This window comes from Homo sapiens, chromosome 6, assembly GCF_000001405.40.
Source record: "Homo sapiens chromosome 6, GRCh38.p14 Primary Assembly".
Classification (NCBI taxonomy): domain Eukaryota; kingdom Metazoa; phylum Chordata; class Mammalia; order Primates; family Hominidae; genus Homo; species Homo sapiens.
The window spans coordinates 5,487,146-5,509,747 of NC_000006.12; the positions used below are offsets into that span (position 1 = coordinate 5,487,146).

The following is a 22,602-nucleotide window of genomic DNA, read 5'->3' on the forward strand; positions in this document are numbered from 1 at the left end:
CATTTGTTTGTCTTTCAGTTTCCACATCCAGGTGTTGTGCTGTTTCCCTGGACCTCCGGGTTCATCACACAGCCTCTGGTGCACCTACCTGGGTGCCAACGTTGTAGGAAGAAGCTGTCTGCACTGACAGGCTTGTGGAGGCGAGCTAAACTCCATAACCCCATGACTGTACATCCTGAAGCAGAGTTAGGGAGAACCAGTCTCCAATGACCACTGACAAAAACAGAATCAAAGTGATAATAGAACCAACCAGCACTACAATTCCTAACATATAGTGTGCACTCAGCAACCATGTGGCAGGTACCAAGGTCAAAAACATACCTCAATGATATGTTTTTATGTTTAATACCTACAACAGCCGTGTGTATTTGGCACTATCGTTGCTATTCCCATGTTACCCATTACAGAGTGGAGGCCTAGAGAAGATAATTTGCCTGAAGTCGCACGTTTCAGTCAGTGGCAGAGCCAGATTCAACCCTAGCTGGTCTGAGGGCAGATTCTGTGGTCTCCCCAACACGCATGGGTTCTCTTTTTGTCTCTGCACTCACTGACATCTGATGTAGGTACGTGGCTTTAATACTCAGGGCCTCCTCTGGAAAATGAATGGTTTGACCAGACTGCTCCAAAGACCTTTGGTCATTGACATACCGTGGTTTTTTTAGATCCTGCAGTCATCAGACCCCTCAGTGGCTTTACTTGCTTACGTCACCTGGTCTCCATGAGGACACATGCTCCATGTGTGTGGCATGTGGAAAGGCTCAGTAAGCATTGATGAGCAGACTGACTTCCATATTATCCTGTGTTGTAGGGGCATGGAAGCTGGACTCTGGGGCTTATTCTGGAGAATATTCTCTCCTTGAAGCAGTGTTCTTTGCTTGAAGATTATTTCTTTTGGATTTTACTCTTCATCAGAAAGTAGATGTTATGATCAGCTGTGTCCTTGGATAAATGTGTTTTCTCCTGTGCCCTGGAGTTCATCTTTTGCTTTCGTGTTAAGCCTAGACCCTTTTTTACCTCTGTCTCTCTGAATCTTCCCTAACTTGATCCCAACTTTCCCCTAACAGTAGTGATTGGAATGCTCAAACTTCAAGGAAAAAAGTACAGACATACATTAGTGATAATGTTCAAAAGGCTATCGTTAGTCAGATTGTAATTCTGTTCCTTGTGGAGAACTTTTTCACTGGTTCTATATATATGAAGTACTCAGGCTTCCACCAGTTCTATCAGAGCTGAAGGATTTAGTAGGGTCAATATCTACTATTGCACTGCCTAAATATTTCTAATCTAATGTACTTATATTTGATTCCATGGACAGAATTATTTGCTCTGTACTAATATTTGGCCATATATGAAGTCATCATTACAATGTGTTCATATTCACCTGTTCATGCTCAAATGAATAATTTTACAGTACAGTGCTGAAGAAAATATTGTAGATTTTTGTTTATTTGCTGTAGATCTCTTTTGTGAAAGAGAATGGGTTTAATGGAGCATAAGAGTTTAGTTGGGACTTGTTGAATTTGAGGTGCCTCTTAGAAATCTCGTGTCTTTGCAGAACTTCAGCCATTATCTTTGGTAAAATCACCCACCTAACTTCTCTTTCAGTCTCTGGCTTTTATTTGGCTTTTAAATACTTCATACTCCGCATATCTAAATCTGAATCCATCATTTCTTCCTGCTTTCCTCAGACACACACATGTACATGCCTGTTTCTTTTTCAGGTGTTCGGATTTCTTTTAATGTTTTCAGTCAATTCATGTAGTAAATATTTATTGTGCTCTTACTGTGTCCCAGGTACATTTCTAGGCACTGGGTCTATAGCAGTGAATAAAACAGGCCAAAATTCTACCTTTCTGGAGCTTACAGTATGGTGGGGGTAGGCAATCCACAAGGAAAATGAGTAAATTATATATCTAGTGTCATCAGGTCATAAATGATAGAGTGAAAATGAATCAGGGAAGGAGAATAGGAAATTCTGAGTGTGGGAGTGGGGGCAGGGGTATTTCAGTTTAAAATAGGACAGTCAGGCTGGGTGCGGTGGCTCACACCTATAATCTGAGCACTTTGGGAGGCTGAGGTGGACGGATCACTTGAGATCAGGAGTTTGAGACTAGCATGGCCAACATAGTGAAACGCCGTCTCTGCTAAAAGTACAAAAAATAGCCAGGCGTGATGGTGCACGCCTGTAGGCCCAGCTACTTGGGAGGCTGAGGAACTGGAATCACTTGAACCTGGGAGGCAGAGGTTGCAGTGAGCTGAGATGGCACCACTGCACTCCAGCCTGGGTGACAGAATGAAACTCCATCTCAAAAAATAAAATAAAATAAGACAATCATCAGATGCCTCACTGGGAAGGTGACATTTGATGTTTCAATGTTATCATGACATTTGAATTTCTCCTTTGATTCTCTTTCATCTCCAGTCAGTTGACAAATTCAGTCAGTTCAACCCTTGTAATATGCTTCCATCTCTTTCCTTCTCTCTACGCACGACGCCATTACTTCAGTTCTGGGCTTTATCACTCTTTCCTGTACAGGCATATTAGTCTTCAGATAGGCCTACCAGTCACTAGTCTCTTTTGAATTTGATTTTTGATTATTAATTGCTGGTTATTATTATAGAAAGTTTTTGCATTTTATGTATAGTGAACTTACGTTGGAATAAATAGGTTATGAAAATTTTATAAAATTGTAATAAATTGCCATAGTTTTCTTTGAAGTTGAAAAGCATATAATGCCATGCACATAATAATATTTTTTATTACGGTATTATTTACGTAAAATAAAAGTCTTTCATTTCATGTGCAATTTGATGAACTTCAGTAAGTATATAGAGTCGCGTAGGCACAATATCAAGATACAGAGAGTTCTCTCACCCTAAAAAGCCTCCTTGTGGCCCTTTCGGTTGACCTTTCTCTTCATCCCCAAACCCAAGCAATCACTGATTTTCTTTTGTCATTATGGTTTGCCTTTTCTAGAATGTCATATATATGGACTTGGATAATACTTAGATGTTTGTGTTTGCTTTCTTTAACTTTACAAAGTATTTCTGAGGTTCATCCATGTTGCATGTATTAATATTTTGTTCTTTGTAATTGCTAAGTAGCATTCTATTGTGTAGATATATCACAGTTTGTTTATCCATTAATCAGCTGATGGACGTTTGGATTGCTTCCAGTTTGGGGCTGTTGTGTATTAATGCTGCTGTGAGCATTCATGGACACATCTTTGTCTGCATAATGTGTTCATTTCTCTTGTTTCAATACTTAGAACTGGGAGTGAAGGGTCATATAGGGCTGTATATTTACTTTTCTAAAATATTGTTAATAGTATTTTTTAAAGCAACTGTACCATTTTGTATTCCCACCAGCCTGCAAGATGGCCCCCAGTGATCGCTGCTTCCTTGGGCTTGTGCCAGTAATACAGTCTCTTCCCATATTTTGTCAGCATGGGTTTGTGTGATCAGTAGAGTATAGCAAAAGAGGTGGTACATCACTTCTGAGCTTAGGTTGTAAAATACACTTTAGCTTTCATCTTGGTTGGTTATTTATGCTCTCTTGAATCATTTGCTTTGTTGGGGAAGCCAGGTGCTGTATTGTGAGCAGCCTTATGCAGAGACCCACATAGTGAGGAACTGAGACCTCTGGCCAACAGCCAGTGAGAAACTGGTACTGCCTACTCACAGCTATGTGAGTGAGCTTGGAAGCAGATATCCAACCAGTTATACCTCCAGATGCCTGCAGCCTCAGGGGACCTCTTAATTGCAACCTCAAGAGAGACCTGGAAAGCTACTCAAGTAAACTGCTCTTGGATTCCTGAGCATCAGAAACTGTGTGAGATAATTAATGTTTGTTGTTTTAAGCTTCAAAGTTTGGGGATAATTTGTTTACACATCAATAGATAAGGAATACAAGGAGAGTTCCATCTTCTCCATACCCTCAGCAACATTTTATATTGTTGGTTCTCTTTAGCGATTCTAGTAGTTATGTGATGGCACTTACTGTGTTTTTGTTTTGCATTTCTCTGTTGACTCATGATGTTGAGCCTATATTCATGTTTTTGATGGCTATTTGTGTATCTTCTCTTGTGAAGGGTTTGTCCAAATCTTTTGCCCATTTAAAAAATTGAGTCATTTTTATGTTTTCATTTTGTGTTTTCTTCCCTGAAAATTTGTTGCCCCCATCTCTATAAGAGATGAGAATCCTTACCAGATGCAGCTACCATAATTGTTGCTGTGCAGAATTAAGTAAGTCTTGCGGTAACTTTCTAGCAGCATTTCGATCATACTTAGCTTTAAGTTCTCCATCCCCTGCATTTTCCTAAAGTGACGTCGAGTTAAGAATCATGCGCCATTGATGGTAATCCTCCAGCCTGCACTCAAAACGTTTTCCGTATCATTAATCACTTCCCTGTCTCTTGCCAGTTACTGAGGGTTCCATAAACACAGTGCTTCCCCATGCTGCAGGAGTCCTTCCCCGAAAGATATGAGCGTTTCTTCTTCTGCATATGCCATAGCACATTCGTCATTTTCTTACATGTTCATATTTTATAGTCATTGCTAATTTTTGTTTCCATTGTAATCTTACCCTCTTTCTCGCTAGTCCCTTTAACACCCACTGCTTCTGTACTCACCAGATATCACAGGCTACTGCCACTCTTGTGACACCTCACATGTAAGTATAAAGCACAATGAATTCCATGAAAATCATATCCAGTCAAATTAGCAGAATTTTCATAACACCTACCTCACGGTGCTATTGTAAAGATTTTTTTTTTTTCCTGGTATGTACATTCTTTTTGAGGTTAGAGATCTCCTTTTACAGGACTTAGTATCTAACAAATTCAGTAACCAAACTTCTTGACCTCCCCAATATTAGATCACTAAATGTGCAAAAGAACTACCGTTATCTAGGTCAATAAAAACTACTCATTTTCTATGAAACGGTATGTGCATAGATTTTAAAGCTGTGAAAATGCAATAAAGAGCACAACACATTTTGGTCACTTAATTAAATGACTTTTAATAAAGTAGTAGTAGTTTAAGTTTCAACTACCAAACAACACTTTGAATGGTGAAAACACAGATAGTATATTGTCATATTTGAACGCTTTTCTTTAAAAACATAATTCTAATTTGTGTATATATTACAAAACAGCCTTACAGAAAGAAGTGAGATCTTTCTACAGCACTTAAGATAACTCAATACAGGACTGATTTATTAAGATAGTGTATATTCGACTTTTCTAGCTCAAGAGATGAGTTAAAGGATAAACTCTGAAAAAGTAAAATGTATTATGTAAACATTGATAAAATATTACTATTTATTGCTGGTTTTATTTAAATGGGCATTTCTTCACAGCTTTATCTTAAGTACAGATTTAAAATTCTACCAGCAATATAATCATGTCAGCAAATATTTATTGAGTATCTGCTATGTATTAAGCATTGTACTAGGTCTGTAAATGCCAATGTTGGCAGTTGGCATATTTTCTATGAACTTTATTTTGTATTCAACAAGTATTTATCGAGCCCCTACCATGTTCTGGGCCTAGTATTGGCAGTGAATATATGAAAATGAGTAAGCTGAGAATCTCATATTCCAGGGAGTCCCAGTTGCAGAGGCTGATGTGGAGATGCACCACTGTGCCCGGCTTTCCCTGCAATCTTTTGTTTATGGAATTTGCAGAGTGGCTAGAGTGTATATAGCCTTACACTCTGCAGACCTTGCTCCTGCCCTGCCACCCACCACTTTAGGGTTTCCAATGTTATAAGCATGCCCTTGCGGGCTGGAGCTGATGTTTGCCTCTGCTTTTCCTGTAATATGGTCTCCATGGCTCACAGAGGCATCTACACATTTTTTTCCTTTGGATTGATTTTTTCTGCTATGGCCCTGTATTCTGTGTACTTATTTAGGAATGAGCCGCTTATTGGCCGGTGCCTGTAATCCCAGCTACTTGGGAGGCTGAGGCAGGAGAATTGCTTGAACCTGGAAGGTGGAGGTTGTAGTGAGCCGAGATCATGCCATTGCACTCCAGCCTGGGTGACAAGAGGGAGACTGTGTCTCAAAAAAAAAAAAAAAAAAAGAAAAAGAAAGAAATGAGCCACATATTGCACTATGTTGCTCTCTCATTACTTAACTGTTGGACAGTTGCTTTTCATTCTCATTTATTCCTCTTTTCTCCACTTAGAATTTAACATTCTAGAAGGTAGGGATCACATGTCTCTTAGTACAGTGCTCAGTGCAGAGCAACACTTAAGAAATACTGCTTTAAATGAAAGAAGGGTCTGACAAAACATTGATAGAACAAATGTCTTTTGATGTGTGGCTAGATGAAGACTGCAGTGTATCGACCTCCAAGAGGAATGGAAAGTCAAAGTCGCAGTCTCTATAGGGGACCTTATGTCTACCCCGGACCACCAAGCTGGGACTGGAGATCTAACTTCTAGCTGTATTGCCAACTAGCTCTGCGACATTGGACAGGTGACTTGATGGCTCTTAGACTGTTTCCTCATTTATAAAATGGGAGCAGTAGTATTAGCTATTCACGGAGTTGTTTTGAGGATTGAAAGACATGATGCACAGAAAGCACCCGGAATGAATGAAGGTCTCTTACATAGTAGGTGCTCACAAACGTTTAACAAATTATTTATGTTTTTCTCATAAAGCACTACAGATGTAATGACAGTTCAATGACTTTATAAAGTACAACATGCTGCACAAATATTTTACTGTCATTTGCTTTTATTTTGTCTCTTGTGTTAATGGCATACCCCTCTATATTATGAAAATACCAGTTTGGTTTAAAGACACAGTGGACAGTGTCATGTGATACAATGACAGTGAGTGCCAGCGCTATTTCAGCAGCAAGAATTATTGGAGTTCCTGTCAGAAGTTCATCTTGGGCCACTATTGGGGCCTTTCAATACTCCTTACGTTGTTTTTCTCTAGCTCTTGTTTTCTGTTTCCTCCTTTTTTTTTTCTTTTTTTTTTTTTGTGGTGTCAAGTAGGCTTTGTGAGGATGGTTTAAAATGTAGGGTATATACTCAGAGTTTAAATAGTCAGTGACTACTTGTTTGAGTCAGGTTTGGTTTTAAAAAGTAAAATTCTATGTTTTAGAACCATAATACCTTCAAAGAAAGCAGCAGCCCTGGTGATCATACCATCCACCCATCCTTTAGTTCACAAAGAAGGCGGAGAACGCTCAGGAGGCCTGCCAAGCTCCTGTAGCCGCAGGACTGGAATCCGGGTCTGTACTGGCTGCGGCTTCACACTGCCTCGCTTCTCAGCGGGCTTTGAAACTCTGCGTGTTTAGGTGTCCTTGATAGGTTCTTATTCTTTTTGTATCTTTCTATTGCTAGTAAGAGCAAATTTTCTGTTTGCACTGTAGAGACTTATTTCCTACATTTTGGGAAGGTGGTCCTCCTGTGGAAGGGCAAACTCCATTATTAGGTTCATGCCCACTAATTCTCTTCTCTCTCTTCCTACTACCCATCCTTTCCACTTGGAGTATTCTCTTCTGTTGTTTCCTTCACATCTCATCCTTCTTTATCATTCCCATGTCTCCCTTGCTGTATTGCCTGCACAAGTTCACATGTTTGAGGAACGAAACTTCAAACATAGTCTGTACCAAGAGGCTTTATTATTTTCTTTTTCCTCTCTCCCCCTTTTCCCCTAGAGCTAGTTCAAGGTGTCCTAATGGTCTAAAATGTCAAAAGAAAACTAGATGAGGAAAAAGCAATCGAAAATAACTCTATTACAAGCTTCCTTATAGTTCAGATTCATCCCTTTCTTTTTGACCCCTTTAAACAAATGAACATGTTGGCCTATTTCAGGGGTAATTGCTCTTCTCTTCAGAATACACCTCCTAAAATGACTGCTGTGTGAGGTTGAACATTGTGGGTGACGAATGTCTGCCAGAGCAGAGAACTTTGTTGTTTTCCCTCCTTCCCTCTCATTGCCTTCATTTTCTTCCCTTTTAGATAATAAAATCCTTTTCCAATTATAGAAACTGTAGAGGTCAAAATGTGACTCAGGTTAAACCCTGTGAAAACTGTAGCCGCCTGAAATTATAATGCACATTTTTGCTTTTGAGCCAAGGTAGTGTGCCAGCTGGAAGATGTAAATTTGTCATCATTTTCTGCCTTTGTTTCATCTTTTCTTTCCTTTTCTACATCGTCGTAATTCTCAAACTTTATTGTTTTTCTCTGTTATTCTCTCCCCTTGGTAAACCCCTGTGCTCCCAGTGGAGCCAGAAGAAATTGTACATGGGGCTTTGATATTTTGCCAACTGTTTTCTATAATTAAAAGTGAATTGGAAATGGGAACACTTCCTCTGTTCCACCGATGCTTCTGGGGTCTAGTCTAATAGAAACATGGAAAGGTGCAAAAAAAGAATCTGGAGCTAGGAAGGGAAAATGGAAGCTTGCAACTCAGGCTAAGGAGTTCCTAATGGAACATCAGCCCTTTAAGCCTTCGGGTTTTCTGTTCTAAATTTGCTCTTTTCTTTGTGTCAGATCATTAGAAAGTTTTATCCAAAATTAAACCAGTAATACTGAGGTGGTAGCTCATAGAGCTTGTGATTGGCTTGATCCATGCTAATTATCTTCTCAGTTGAAGTAATCAAAGGCAGAGACCATAACAGAACAATGTGGACTCTGAGAGACTGGTATTTAAATTCTCATGATTTAAGCAGAAATAGTAAATAGATTACAATTTGTGTATCAGGCCTAATTAGTCCCTAGTGCAGGGCTGATGGACCATGATCCTATAAAATATTCAGTATCACGATGCCCTGCCTGAGCAGCTAACCAGCCCTTCACTGTCTGAATATGGAAGAAAGCTTGTCTTGTTAAAATCATCTCAAATTACTATGACCTGCTTTTCCCCTAGGATCCCTGCACAACTCTCCCTGACTCCCCACCCCCAGCTAATTCTTCTACTTTCTTCCCGATTACTACGGCCATATAAAACAATATATGCCCTTTTCTTCTTATCTTTTTTTTGGTTGGGGGTGGAAGGAGGGTAATACTCCATTGAGTACTCTGCTTTTGAATCCGTTGAATGTCTCTCTAGTTGCTCTGCACAGAGCACATTGCTTAAGTGCGCCATTTGTCACTTCTGTGTTTTTAGTTGATGACTCTAGTGTTGATACTATAGGAATCAGTATAAGATTACTTAAAATGAAGCCTTACAAGGTGTTCAGCATTCAGAATATTTTGTCATCGAGAGGGAGGAGCTTTGGGAAATTAGTGAATTTGCTCTACCTAAAAGCTTGACATCTGTGTAGAGCATACAAGAGATGAGGGTGTGCGTGCATTAACTTGCTACGGGTGCCATAACAAATACTGCAGAGTGGAGTGTTTAAGTGGCAGAAATTTATTTTCTCATAGTTCTGGAGGCTACAAATCTGACATCAAAGTGTTAGTAGGGCTGGTTTCTCCTGAGGCCTCTTTCCTTGGCTTGTAGATGGTTACTTTCTCCCTGTGTCCTCACATGGTCTTTCCCTCTGTGTGTATCTGTGTCCTAATCTCTTCTTCTTGTAAGGACATCCAAGTCAAATTGGATTAGGGCCCATCTTATGACCTCATTTTAACTAATTACCTCTTAATTACCTCTTTAAAGGCTGTATCACGTTCTGAGGTCCTGGGGGTTAGGACTTTCATATATGAAGTTTTTGTTGTTGTTGTTGTTTCTTTCTTTTTATTTAATTTTATTTTTTTAGAGGTAGAGGTCTCACTATATTGCCTAGGCTGGATTCAAACTCCTGACCTCAAGCAGTCCTCCCACCTCAGCCTCCTGAGTAGCTGGGCCTGTGTGCATGCACCTCTGCACCCAGCTGTGAATATATGTTTTGAGGGGGCATGATTCAGCCCCAAATGGGGTGAAGAAGCTCTAATCCTGTTACTGTGAACAGCATTCAATATAAAAGTAAGGCTAACTCCCTTATAGGATGGTACTGAGACTTAAATGAAATCTCGTGTATGATGATTTTGAAAACTCCAAATCCCTACTTATAAGAATGGTAGCATCGTTATCATTATTATATAAAATACAACAATACATATAATGATCATTATAATATAAAAATGATCCTGTTTGAAATGACTGAGTCCACATGAGGAAAGAGTGAGTTTGAATTGATAACTGTTCCCAGAGAAACTAGTCCATGTAGAGAAGGAAACCAAGATGTTAGGAGCAGGCCAGGGGCCAGCATCGTTGCAACTCTGTTGAGTTTGGAGCTGTTCTAAAATAGTGAATCTTTTTGCCAGGCCTGATGAGAATGAAAATCTTAATGTGGGATAAAGGACAAACTGAACAGCACCTACAATGATTGGCTGTCATGGATTAAATGTCAGAAAAATGAGTAAAAGGAACATTGGGTGTTGATTTCATTAATAATAGAAATAAAAATGTTTCAACAAACATCATTTCACACCTTCAGTTAAAAGCCTGTATTAACTGTTATCATGGTAAATAAGATATTTAACATGGAAAATGAATGCCAATGGTATCATTCAAACTTCTTATAGTTCTCTAAATATATGTAAAATATTTTCCTCAATATTGTTCTGACTGAGAGCAATAAATGTGGGTAATTTTATTATTCTTTTATTTTAAATAGAATTTTAGGAAATGTTTATTTTTAAAATGTAATCCTTTCATTTATTCTCCTCTACCCTAAATAAGTAATTCATTAACCTTTCATTGTAATAGGAGCGTGAGCATCTGAAGGCAATTAACTGTTTTACATTATCATTCATTGTGAATAAACAAATAGTTTCACCCTCTTTCCCCAGAGAGCTATAATTTAGGGATTGTGTAGCTAATTATACAACTCTAGAGCCAGTTTTGAGAGGGATAGCTATCTTCTCTGATCACATCTGCTTTCACCTACTGTGCTGGGGGCCCTGGGGAATGGAAGGGACTCTCTAGGGGTGTTTAGGACTTACATATTTGTTGAGTTAGGCGATTTGATGTTACTTGTGGTTTCATTGAATGGAATCTAGGACAGATCTTAAAGGATAAGAAATGATTAAAATTTTTTTTCATCTTTTGGTGTTCTAAATTGGAAACACATCCTCCTCTGATGGTAAAATAGTCAGTTCTGGATTATCTCAAAAGAGAAGATTATTTGAGTGGTAGAGTTTTCAGGCTCCTTATTTTTTCCTTTTATTCGTGTCACTAGGCTTTTGCTTGTTTCGTTTTTAAGAGTTATCGTTCAAGAGCATCAGCGGGGAAAGGAAATGCCAGGGTGAATCAGATCGGCCAAGTTAACCATCTGACTGTCTGATGGAGCTTATTTTACTTATCATAAAACGTAAGTGTTTCTCCTCTAGAGTTTAAGTTGCTTGAGGGAGGAATCTGTTCATCACCGTGTCTCTAACACCAGCGGAGTGACTGCACGCACCAGGTACTCAGTAGATGTTGGCTAAGTTCAATTGTTGAATTAGATTTATGATCCATGTATTTTTTTTTTGTTTTTAGTTTACACAAAAAGTAGAGTTGGCTTTATGTCACCTATGACTAACTCCTCTATACCTCCTCAAAGCAGCTGTCACTTACCACCAGCATTTAGTCACTTTTCAGATTGAATTCCTGTTTCTTTACAGCAGGATAGGAGCATGAAGAGAAGGTTAAGATATCTGAGTTAAGACGAGGGAGCTCCTTAATTGAATTGGGAAAACCTACAACATAAATTAAGCAGGATGCTAGAAATTGAAACAAGGCAGTTGCATTTCCATTGAAGCCAGTAGTGCCTTTTTTTTTCTTGAGATGGAGTCTCACTCTGTCACCCAGGCTGGAGTGCAGTGGTGCCATCTTGGCTCACTGCAACCTCCGCCTCCTGGGTTCAAGCGATTCTCCTGCCTCAGCCTCCTGAGTAGCTGGGATTACAGGCATGCACCACCACGCCCAGCAAATTTTTGTATCTTTAGCAGAGATGGGGTTTCACCATGTTGGCCAGGCTGGTCACGAAGCGGTGCCCTTTTCTTGTTAAAAGAATCTTGGGCGAGGCGTGTATCGATGAAGGCTGCATCTGACCTTTCACTGGCAGTTCACTAACTTGGTTCTGGCCAACGTGTGCCTACCCCAAGGAACCTGGGAGAGTGGACATTTTTTTCTGGATGAAGTCTTTTGGGAGTAGAAAGAAGGGAAGCAAGTCAGATAGTGTGGTGCTTCCCTAGTGGTTTTATTAGGGAGGTCCAGACACATGTTTCCTTCATGAGACGCAGACTGCACTTTAGTTCCCTTCAGTGCAGGACATGAGTGAATTAGGGCAATGCAATGAAAAGGAAAGAATGGTTAGAATAAGGTCAGAAGGTTTGATTTCTGTTTTCAGATTTAGCACTGCTTGGGTCTGTGAGCTTGGAGCAAGTCATTTAATCTCTCTGGGCCCTAACATGCTCATCCATGAGTGAGTTAAATGGATTGACAGCTAATGATTGCTGCTCCTAATTCTATGCATTTAGAAAATTCAAACTTCCCTCAAGTTCCCCGTAGAGTTCTTACCGTTTGCTGTAGTTTGAACTTCAGGATCATTGTCTCCCAATTTGCTTCCTTTGGCTTGGTGATATCATTGCCTGCAGAAATAGAAAACTGGTACAAAGCCATTTATCTAGTTCTGTGTGCCAGAATATCTTTGATGAGATCATAAGTCGTTCTTTTACTTTTTAAAACTAAGTGACTCAAATAGTAGTCACTAACTACTTAAACTTTGGGTACAGCAATGGCCTACATTTCCTGTTTCTTTTGTGTTGGTTTTCAACTGTCCCTGTATGGTTGCTGCCTTTTCAATGCCTTCTTTCTTCTCTCTGCATACATTAATACAAGGGGCATCTGAAATTTCAGCAGAAGCAAATGTCAACTGTACCAAGCTGAGGTAGCAATTCTAGGGGTGGTGTCCTTTCCAAATGTGTTGTTTTATGAAGATATAAGTTTTACATGATTCTTCGTGTCAGCAGTTTTGCCACTTGCCATCGTTTAAGAAGTCTATTGGGTATCTGATCCTGTTCTCTATTATTTCATTGTGCTGCCTCCCTCTCGCCCTCCCTCCCTCTCTCCCTAGAAAACTTTATTTTCTCTAGCTTGGGAAAATGTGTGTGGTACAGTGAGAAATTCTGGTAACTTGGGTACTGCGTTTTCTTCAGCTTCTTGAGAAAAGGCTGCTGTGGAGGCTGGGAAAGTACTCATAGAAATGCAGCTTTTCTCCCAGGCTGCAAAGAGCTGCCCATATGGTTCTGTCGAAGCAGAATGGAGACCAAATAAGACTTGAGGAGGAAGACACCACATTAGTAAGCATCTCTCCTGGATGACTGAAGGGAAATCAAGGCCAGCCACACCAGCGGAGGGTGGGGCAAGGCCAGGCGCCTCAGATGCAGCTTGCAGAGGAGAGGCCTGTGCAGTTACCTTCAGTGTTTTTCATCAGAGCAGGTAAACTGCAGGCCTGTCTGGTACCAGGTGCTGGCTAAGGAACATACCAGGGTACCATGGTTAAGGCACGGACTCTGGAGTTAGACAAACCTAGGTTTAATTGCTAAGGGAGTCAGAGTGCTTTGGTTGTAAGCTGTAGCACCAATTTTTGCTACCTTACATTTTTTTTTTTTAAAGGAGAGGATGTATTAAAATGACACTGGATAATTCACAGAACCGGTAGAAGAGTTGAAAGGATAAAGGATAAGAAGAGGGTAGTTCTGGTATTTAGGACAGCCACTTGAAGGTGGTGCCACTGGAATGACTTGGAACAAAACATTTTCTGTCCTTGTGACATTCCAGTCAAGCTTCAAATCCCCGAGAGAGAGAGAGAGAGAGAGAGAGAGAGAGAGAGAGATGCCAGGTCTGGTCTTGTTCTTGTTTTGGGAGATGGGGCTAGAAGAGGGAATGCAGTGATTAACAAACACAAGATTCATTCACCCAGAGAAAACTGGACTGTGCTTATCAAAAGAAGGGGTTAGAGTTGCTAGACAGACCAAGCCAGCAGATGTAAACATGATATGAATGAACATTGCCACTCGCCATCTAGTATCTAAACCTCAAAGAGTTTAAGTAGTATCGGTATACCTCAGCCTTGTACTAAGGTAAACAAAGGACATAAATCTAATGAAGAAATAACACCTATTTCAGAGATATGCTCACTGTGGGCGTATTGAAAAAGATATTGCCTGTAAAGCTCTTGGCATATGCTTCATGGTAAGTTCTCAACTCTTAGCTGTGTTAATTACATTTTCTTAACAGAGCCATTAACTGATAGGTGACTACACAGCTCAGTTTGCCCAGGACAGTCCCAGTTAGTGCCTTTAACCTTCCTAATTAGCATTGTCTTGGGGTTCTCATTTTTTTATTTTATTTTATTTTTATTTATTTATTTATTTTTGAGATGGATTCTTGCTCTGTTGCCCAGGCTGGAGTGCAGTGGCGTGATCTCAGCTCACTGCAACCTCCACCTCCCGGTCTAGCAATCCTCATGGCTCAGCCTCCTGAGTAGCTGGGACTACAGGCGTGAGCCACCACACCCATCTAATTTTTGTATTTTTAGTAGAGATGGGGTTTTGCCACGTTGGCCAGGCTGATCTTGAACTTCTGACCTCAAGTGGTCCGCCCGCCTCAGCCTCCCAAAGTGCTGGGATTACAGGTGTGAGCCACCACGCCCAGCTGGTTTCTCATTTTTTAAAATAAAGTATCATTACGGGTTGCATTAAAATATGCCAGAATGGGCTTGATAGACCTTTGCTTTGTCCTTTGAGCTTGCCTGCCCCTCCAGTCACATGTGAGATGCGTGTGCAGTGAGCAGAGTTCTCAGTGAAATCTAAATCTGTCCAGCAATGACGTTCTTCTCTTCTCCCAGGCCTTTCACAGTGCAGCTGAGCCAATACCTCCTTGAATGAAGCATGCAGGTGCTCTTGATAAAACAGTGTGCTGACACACCAGTGGCTGGGGCAGTTAACTCCTCCCAGTCCAGCATGGTGTGGGAGTAGTATTTGAGACTGCTACCCCAGCCAGCCTTGTGGTCTCTCAGCCAGCTGTGCCGTGGATCACTCCATAGCTTGCAAAGTGCAGGAGCCACTGGCCTTTAGTCAGATGAAACAGTGAGAATTATAGCAATTTATTCGTTAAAATATGTGTTGGAGAGAGGCTTAGCCATTATGTGTTAGAACCTATAGATGCAGAGAATAGTTTGGCATGCCCTTTCTGCAAGGGTTTGTCACATTTTATAGGGTATACATCTGAAGTTATTCATTTATTTTACTTTTTGGTAATTTTTAAAATTATTTTTCAATAAACCCTTTTGGTCGCAATTACTCTCTCCCCAAAAGCACCTTTTAAGGAAAAATGGATTACTGGATTTGTCAAGAAAGTTGATATTGAACGTGTAACCTGTCAATATTTACCATTCACATAAAAGTCAGAACAGTATCACTGACCAGATTTCTAAAAGAAAGAAATCTATTGAAGAAGGCTTCACAATTTTTAAAATTTTAAACATTTCAAAGATGAGCATGTAAGAAACACAATGCAGCATTTTTGCATATTGTTTTCAAAGAATGACTTTTCATTTAGGTGAGACAAGTAACTCTCAAGATAATTTCATTCTTTCTGGAGTTCAGGTTTTCTCGCACACATGTAAAAATGTAGGTATAGCTTTTAATATCTTGGCTCAGTTAGCAAAAGAGCTTTACAAACAGTTAAGTGATCCTGCCAATTTTATATCACAGCCATCTCATCAGATACTTCAAATAGAAAATCAGTTAATTCGAATTTTTTTTTGTTTTTTTCCATGTGATTCATGGGATAAGAGGAATGCTTTTGGAAGTTCATTTTGTCAAAGGTAACACACCTGATTGTGCGTGTGATTGTAAATCCATTCAAAAAGCTCAATGTTTATGATCAAATTATTTATTTTTGTAGTGATGATATATGAAAACTTTTATGGAGAACAATGTTTTAATAAAAACAACATCCTCACTAAATTAAGAAAAGTGTAGCAGAAATATACCTGGATTGATGGTAAGATACATGTGTATATAATTCATAATTTAAAAATTAATAAAATATATAAAAATATTTTAAGAAAATAGTAAATAAAAGATTTTATTAAAAATGGGAAGATGTAGGTCAAAAGACATGAAGTTGCAGTTATGAAGTACAAGTCTAGAAATTACAGCACAAGGACTGTGGTCAATAATATTATATCATATACTAGAAATTGCTAAGAGTAGATTTTAGGTATTCTTAACACACACACACACACACACACACACACACACAGAGAGAGAGAGAGAGAGAGAGAGAGAGATAACTGTGTGAGATGATGGCTATATTAATTTGCCTGGCTGTAGTAATCACTTCACTATACATTTGTATATTAAAACATCTTATTGCATACCGCAAGTACATATGATTTTAAAAGAAAATAAATTAATTAAAATATTTAAATAAAATATACAAGTATATAATATGAAATGTATTTTGTAAAATCATTGAGTATAGAATGTACATATAATTGATAATTGTATCCAAACGAGTTGTGATATTGTACTCTTAGAATTAGAAGCTGCCATTGTAAAAATGTACAGATATTTATATCTTTACACAGAATGATTGAACTACAGATTTTTTTCAATACTGAAGTTAAATACAAAAACACACCTCACTGTGGGAAGAACACACTTGCTCTCTTTGCCCCCGTCATTGATCAGATTTTAGAAATATGTCAGCCTTTGAAAAACTTCTTTGTATCTCACTGTAACTATGCTACACTGGTAATGAGTGTATGAATCCTTTAAATCTTGTCTGCATTTTTGCCCCAAATCAAGTGGAAATCTTAAAAGTATTCAATTACTGGAGTATCAGGAAATTCAGCATAGGCAGGTTTTAGAGACTTGCCATTATTAAAACCACAGCCTGCCAGCTAGAAGATATTGCCGTATTTCCTCACAAAAGCAGAGTAGGGAGTGACAAATTATAGGATGAGGGCCCAATGGTAGGTACACAAAATTTAATTTCAAAATTGTATAATTTTTCCTTAGAACAACTACGTTATGGAAATAATTTTTTCATGAGACTTCTGTATTTTACTGGATAAATTTTTATTCTATATCACAATGGAATGAAGTTGAAAAGGCTTATAATATTGCATCATCCACATTTGGTCAGATATTCAAAAGAATCATAAAGAGAGACAATTAATATGAGAGCTTGATCTTGCTAAAGTTTTCATTAAAGACCTATACACTGAGTGGAAGCAGAAAGATAGTTCCTTTAAAAATATTGGGAATGAAATATTTATGCTTTCCAGTAAAAAAAAAAAAAAAAAAAAAGAATTGAGAACATTTTCCTTTGGTAGGATTTGCTCTGAGCTTATCACTTACCCTTAGGTGTTTTCAAAAATTAAAATAGTGTGGACTTAACAGAAACATCCATTGAAGACGTCAACAACTTCAAGTCGCACAAAATGCAACATTAAGGAAGAGACAAAAATTACTGACACCAAGCTCGTATCAAACACAAATACTTTTAGAGAAATACCAGGACAGAATTCAAAACATACAGTTACAAAACTGCTCAAGGTATGTAAATGTATGCCAAGACCAATTACTATTTATATTACTTTTAAATGTTTATAATTAACATAAAGAATGTAAAGAATATAAAGTTTTTATATTTTGCCTTAATGTATGTGGACTTTTATTTTTTCTTTTTTGACATAGGGTCTTTCTCTCTGTTACCCCGGCTGGAGGGCAGTGGCACAATCTCGGCTCACTGCAGTCTTTGCCACCTCAGTCTCCCAAGTAGCTGGGACCACAGATGCAAGCCATCACACCTGGCTTGGACGTTTTTTAAAGAAAGATTTTAGTTTTGAAAATAGTTTCTGAATAAGAGTGATTATATAGATCCATGATTATGAGAAAACCAGTTTGTCAGTCAATAAATAGACATTTCAAAATAATATAATTTTAATTATTTGTGGTACCTACTTTCACTCTCAGAAGTGTCTTGGTGTGAATGATAAATTATATGGCTATTTTATTAATAGCTTTTGTGAATCTTTAGGTTTAAAACATGGTAGAATTCAAAACGCTGAGATTAGATGGAAAAGGCTTGGAGGCCCAGCAGCTCAGTCCCTGGGAGCTTCCTTCGCTCTTCCAGATTGATACTTTAGTTCCTGTTGTGCCTTAGTGGTTTTGCTCCACCATGACCCCCTTTCTTAATTGAGTAGCTCCACTCCAACTTGGACAGTTGTCTGTCTGGCAATGGTCCCCTCACTGTGGAGGCAATCACACTTTTAGCCAGAGAATTTTGGATTTAAGAGAAGAAAGAGTACTGTCCACATGGTCCTGAAGCGACATACATCCTCCTCAGCTGACAGGATTAAGAGATTAAAGTAAAGACAGGCATAGGAAATTATAAAAGTATTAATTTGGGGAACTAATAAATGTCCATAAAATCTTCACAATCCACGTTCTTCTGCCATGGCTTCAGCTGATCCCTCCGTTTGGGGTCCCTGACTTCCCGCAACATACTGTCCCTCTTCAATGGCTGAAGCTATAGGATGCGATGCCTGAGAGCATTGAACAATCATGTTTCTCAACTTTGCACTTGAGGAGCAGAGGTAGCCAGTCTGCAAACAGAAAAGGAAGACAGCAGATGCAGAATGAAAACAGTATGTTTGATATCCAGGGTGTGGTTTTTCCTGAGACTCCCCTTCAGTTCCACCAGCTATTATAATATTACAAACATTTTTATAATAAATTAACCTTTTGCTATTGTAAATTTAAGTTTACTTGCTGTTGGCAGCCAGAAGAGTCTTTTCTTTTCCACCTGAGTTTTAAGCAAATTAAGACATTGAAACAGGTGAAGGAAAGAGAATGTCAGCTTTATTTCTCCTCAGCTGATGGAATCACATGGCTTTGCATCTGCATCAAGAGGACCTGCTCTCCCTCCCTCCCCTCCAGCCCAACCTGGAGAATGGTGGGGTCTGCATAACAAGCATAGTCTCTCAGCTGTCCCAGTGGAGAGCAGGGCAAGAAAGCCTATTCCCAACTTCAAGGTCTTTTAGTAGATCAGCTCCGCCTCATCCAGAAATATGGACCAGCAAGTAACTTGCTCCTCCTAGGGAGTACTGAGCTCCTAGCGGGACTCAGTAAAGGGCAGGGTGTGGGGTCAGGAGAGTCACTCTAACGGAAGTTTTTTAGCAGAGAGAAAACAAGGCCAGCAGAATAGAGGAACCCCACTGTGAGTTGAAACTAAAACCTGAACCTTGACTCTCAAGATTTGTGAATGCCCCACTGTTGGTCCAACATTCAAATGGGCAGCTAGAGAGAGTGGGGCTGGGCACAGCCTCTTAACCACCGAATTGTCTTCTGTTTACAATTCTGCAGGCTCCTTCCCCATGTTTTGGTTGGGATCAGTGCAGAAGCTTCCCTGGTTTGTCTCTAGCACCTCCCACCACTGCCTAAGATTCCAGACGGGTATCACTCTGTGGACACCCAGCATATACAAACCTTCATAACATTACACGAAGATGCTTGGAGCCTGGGAAGGATCTGCTTTGAGGGGAAAGAGCAGATTTAGCTAATAGACATGGCAACTGGTGAGAAAGGTCATCTGCTTCAGTGGTTGATCACTGAGGCATTCATGAAAACAGCTAGATGGAGAATCGCTCTGAAAGTTCGTGAACAATAAGATAGCAGGGGAAATCTGACTATAACAGTAAATCTTCAGTGTTGCTCTTGGCAATCCAGAGTTTTTCACAGAGAGAGGCTAAGAGGCTAACCATATATTTAAAGACTGCCCCCTTTCCTGGATACATGTCTACTGTAAATGGCTTTGATTTTTCAACATAGGATGACTTTTTCCAGTTTTGCACATTTGAGTGCATGCACACTGCTGTTTGGAGTTTTAGATCTTTCTAAAATCCGATTCACACAGACACCTAACCTCTTTAACCCCTTTCTGCCACCTACCTTCTCTGTGAATACAGTGCTTGCAGCCTTTCAGAGACAGAGGTTTCAGAATTTGGCAGCAAAAAAAGTGATGGCTTCTAACACATTTACAGTGTGGTTAACAATAGCAGTTGCTGAACTCTGCCATGGCTGACTAGCTTTCCACTGTTAAGTGTGGTCACACTGGTAACATTTACTTAGGAACTGGGCACACGAGTTAAAATGTTACATGCACAACCCATTTGGGGTTTGAGGTATTCTCTTCTACATACGTTTTACTTGTTCATAAAAAGGAAGCTCTTTAAAAAAAAAAAATCTGATGTTTAGCTCCTGTTGATTCGTAATGGCTGAGAAGGAGTTTGAAGCATGTTTCTTTTCATCTCCTTTCAGCTTTTAATTTTTAGTACTTTCACTTATGTCTGTAAAAAGCAGTTAAAAGTGAAAGTCCCCTGACAGGAGTGTGTAATTGGCAGGCTGGGGTGGAAGGCAGGGGCTCATGATGGCTTTAAGAGAACGTGAAGAGGAAGCAGAGCTGTTCATTGTCAATGGTAATAGCTTTTAAGAGAGGCAGAACTTATGATTTGAGCTTAATTTCTAAATGAAGCTCATTTTCCAGTGTCCCAGCCCACCTCTCAGTGGCCTCCCGGCTAGTGGGTCAGACTGCGGACACGCCATGATGGCACACAGAGAGAAGACCGGAGGGAGCAGAGGGACAAGGGAGAAGCAGAGAGCAGGGGAGAAGAACTTAGAGGTGTATAAGAATTTGTTTATAAGTGTGTAGCCTGTTAAAACCTGACGATCCAAATGGGATGGGTGGCCAGAGCTTATGCCCCGAGGTAGGAGAAGGTTTCTTTTGCTTCTCAATTTCAGAATGTCTGGTAAGCAAGTGATTGAGAGTTCTGGGTTTTTATAGGCAAATAGAGAAAGGGAACAAGGCATGAAGTTTTATTAAAGCAAGGTATGCTTCTATGTTTCACAATAAGTTATTAAGTTCCTCTACTTATTTTCTAGCACTGCAATATATATGCATATTCTAATGGGGAGTTATTAACTCTTTGAAGAGATGAAAGGCAAAGATGTGAAATGTCTGGGAAAACAATCAAGTCAGTGATATAAACCATTAAGTGCAGTGTGCACCAAGAGAGGAATTTTCACCAGGAATGTAGGTGATCCCCATGTTGAGACCTAGTATAGTTTTGGATGCCACATCTCCGAGGGGATCATCCCCCACGTGGATTCCTCTCATCAGAATCTTTCTTGTAGTCTTTGTCCTAATTTATTTTTTGTTACCATTGGAATCTATAAGATGAGCAGATAATTCAGCAAGAAACAAGCTCAAGTGAGTGAACACATGACAGCAGGGACTGAACCAGAGGGCAGAATGCAGAGAGGCCAGGAGGGAATCTGTGAATTAGCAGGAGATCTTCTTGGGGAAAGGGGAGCAGAGTGCTGGCAGGTGGGGCGGGGGAGGGGCTGAAGCCCTCCCAGCAGTGGAGGAAAGCATGGGTGTACCCACAGGGAGGGCACAGGCCCAAAGGGTACAGGACAGAAGTGAGACCGAAGTCTGAATTGAAGGCCCTGAAAGGTAAAATTAGGAGATTGCCTCTGGTGGCAACTAAGAGCATGTATGTTCTTGGGCATGGGTTTGAGAGGATTCAGCAAGTGACAGGATGACAGCCAGGCAGCCGTACGCAGGGCGGACTGGAATGGGAAGCTATCCCGCACGGAGAGGTGGACAGAATTTGAATCATAGTACTATCATTGGAAATGAGGGGGCACTGAGAAATGGAGAAGACTTTCGGAGGAAGAAACGACAGTATTTAGTGACAAATATAAAGGAAGGAGTCAGCAAACATTTTCTGTAAAGGACCAAATAGTAAACATTTTGAGTTTTGCGGGCTGGTCTCCAGTTGATTTTTGTCACTATTCGGCTCTGCCATGGTAGTGTGAAAGCAACCAGAGAAATACATCCATGCATGCGTGTGGCTGTGTTTGCCCCAAGGGCCACACCATAGTTTGCCAATCCCTGATAGAAGGGATGAAAAAACATTTTCAACCTTAGAGAATAGACGTAGACATTAGGTAAAAGCTGTTAACCTTGTAGCCAAGATTTCATTTCACCCAATCAGAATTGCTGAGAACACTGTCTTCCTGAGATACTAAACTTCCAGCTTTGCCCAGGTTCTCCTGCCCAGCATTCCTTGGCGTGGAGCTCGAGGGTGACACTGGGTTTGCGTATGCAGATAAGAGAAAGGGAACAAGTTACAAGGTTTGATTAAAGCAGCGGCCCCTCCGTCTGGTGAATGGCTCCTAGTTTACACCACGTAGCTGATGAAAATGTCACAAAGAAATCTCGTGAGCACACTGGGGAAGTGAGTTGTTCCTGGTAGGACACAGTTGGTCCTGGTTTTTACAATTCCAGTGCAGCTCGGCAGACAAGGGGCAGACTCGATGGGCATAGTGCAGGAAAATGGGTTCTTAAGGGTAAGGCGAGAGGTCCCAGCTACTTGTGAGTGGCTTACTTTTCCAAGGAGTCGATAATGATGGAGAAAAGGATGTCCAGAGGGTGGTCCATCTAGCTTGGCGCCAGAGCGGGAGAGCTGTGGAAGCTCAGCAGGAAAGACTGAGCGTGGGGACTGTGGTCTCTGCAGAAAGTGGGTGGTT

The 22,602-nt window shown here is 40.1% G+C and overlaps 1 protein-coding gene across 19 annotated transcripts in view, besides 2 other annotated features; it reads left to right on the top strand.

Annotated features, from left to right (window-relative positions):
• The window catches only part of FARS2 (phenylalanyl-tRNA synthetase 2, mitochondrial), a 521,650-nt gene that overhangs the window by 237,212 nt on the left and 261,836 nt on the right, over positions 1-22,602 (top strand). The window contains exon 5 of one of the 19 annotated variants that reach the window (XR_007059198.1): positions 11,187-11,318. The exons of the other annotated variants lie outside the window; for them this stretch is intronic. The gene's annotated coding sequence lies outside the window, so the exon portion shown is untranslated. The remainder of the gene's footprint in view (positions 1-11,186; positions 11,319-22,602) is intronic. 19 annotated transcript variants of the gene reach the window in all.
• Positions 12,517-12,717: a silencer, noted in NCBI's record as "peak5636 fragment used in MPRA reporter construct". NCBI's record gives its function as "represses an SCP1 promoter by STARR-seq MPRAs in K562 erythroleukemia cells {active_cell/tissue: K562}" and the evidence as "EXISTENCE:reporter gene assay evidence [ECO:0000049][PMID:32103011]".
• Positions 20,222-20,351: an enhancer, noted in NCBI's record as "active region_23908". NCBI's record gives its function as "activates an Ori minimal core promoter by ATAC-STARR-seq in GM12878 lymphoblastoid cells {active_cell/tissue: GM12878}" and the evidence as "EXISTENCE:reporter gene assay evidence [ECO:0000049][PMID:35858748]".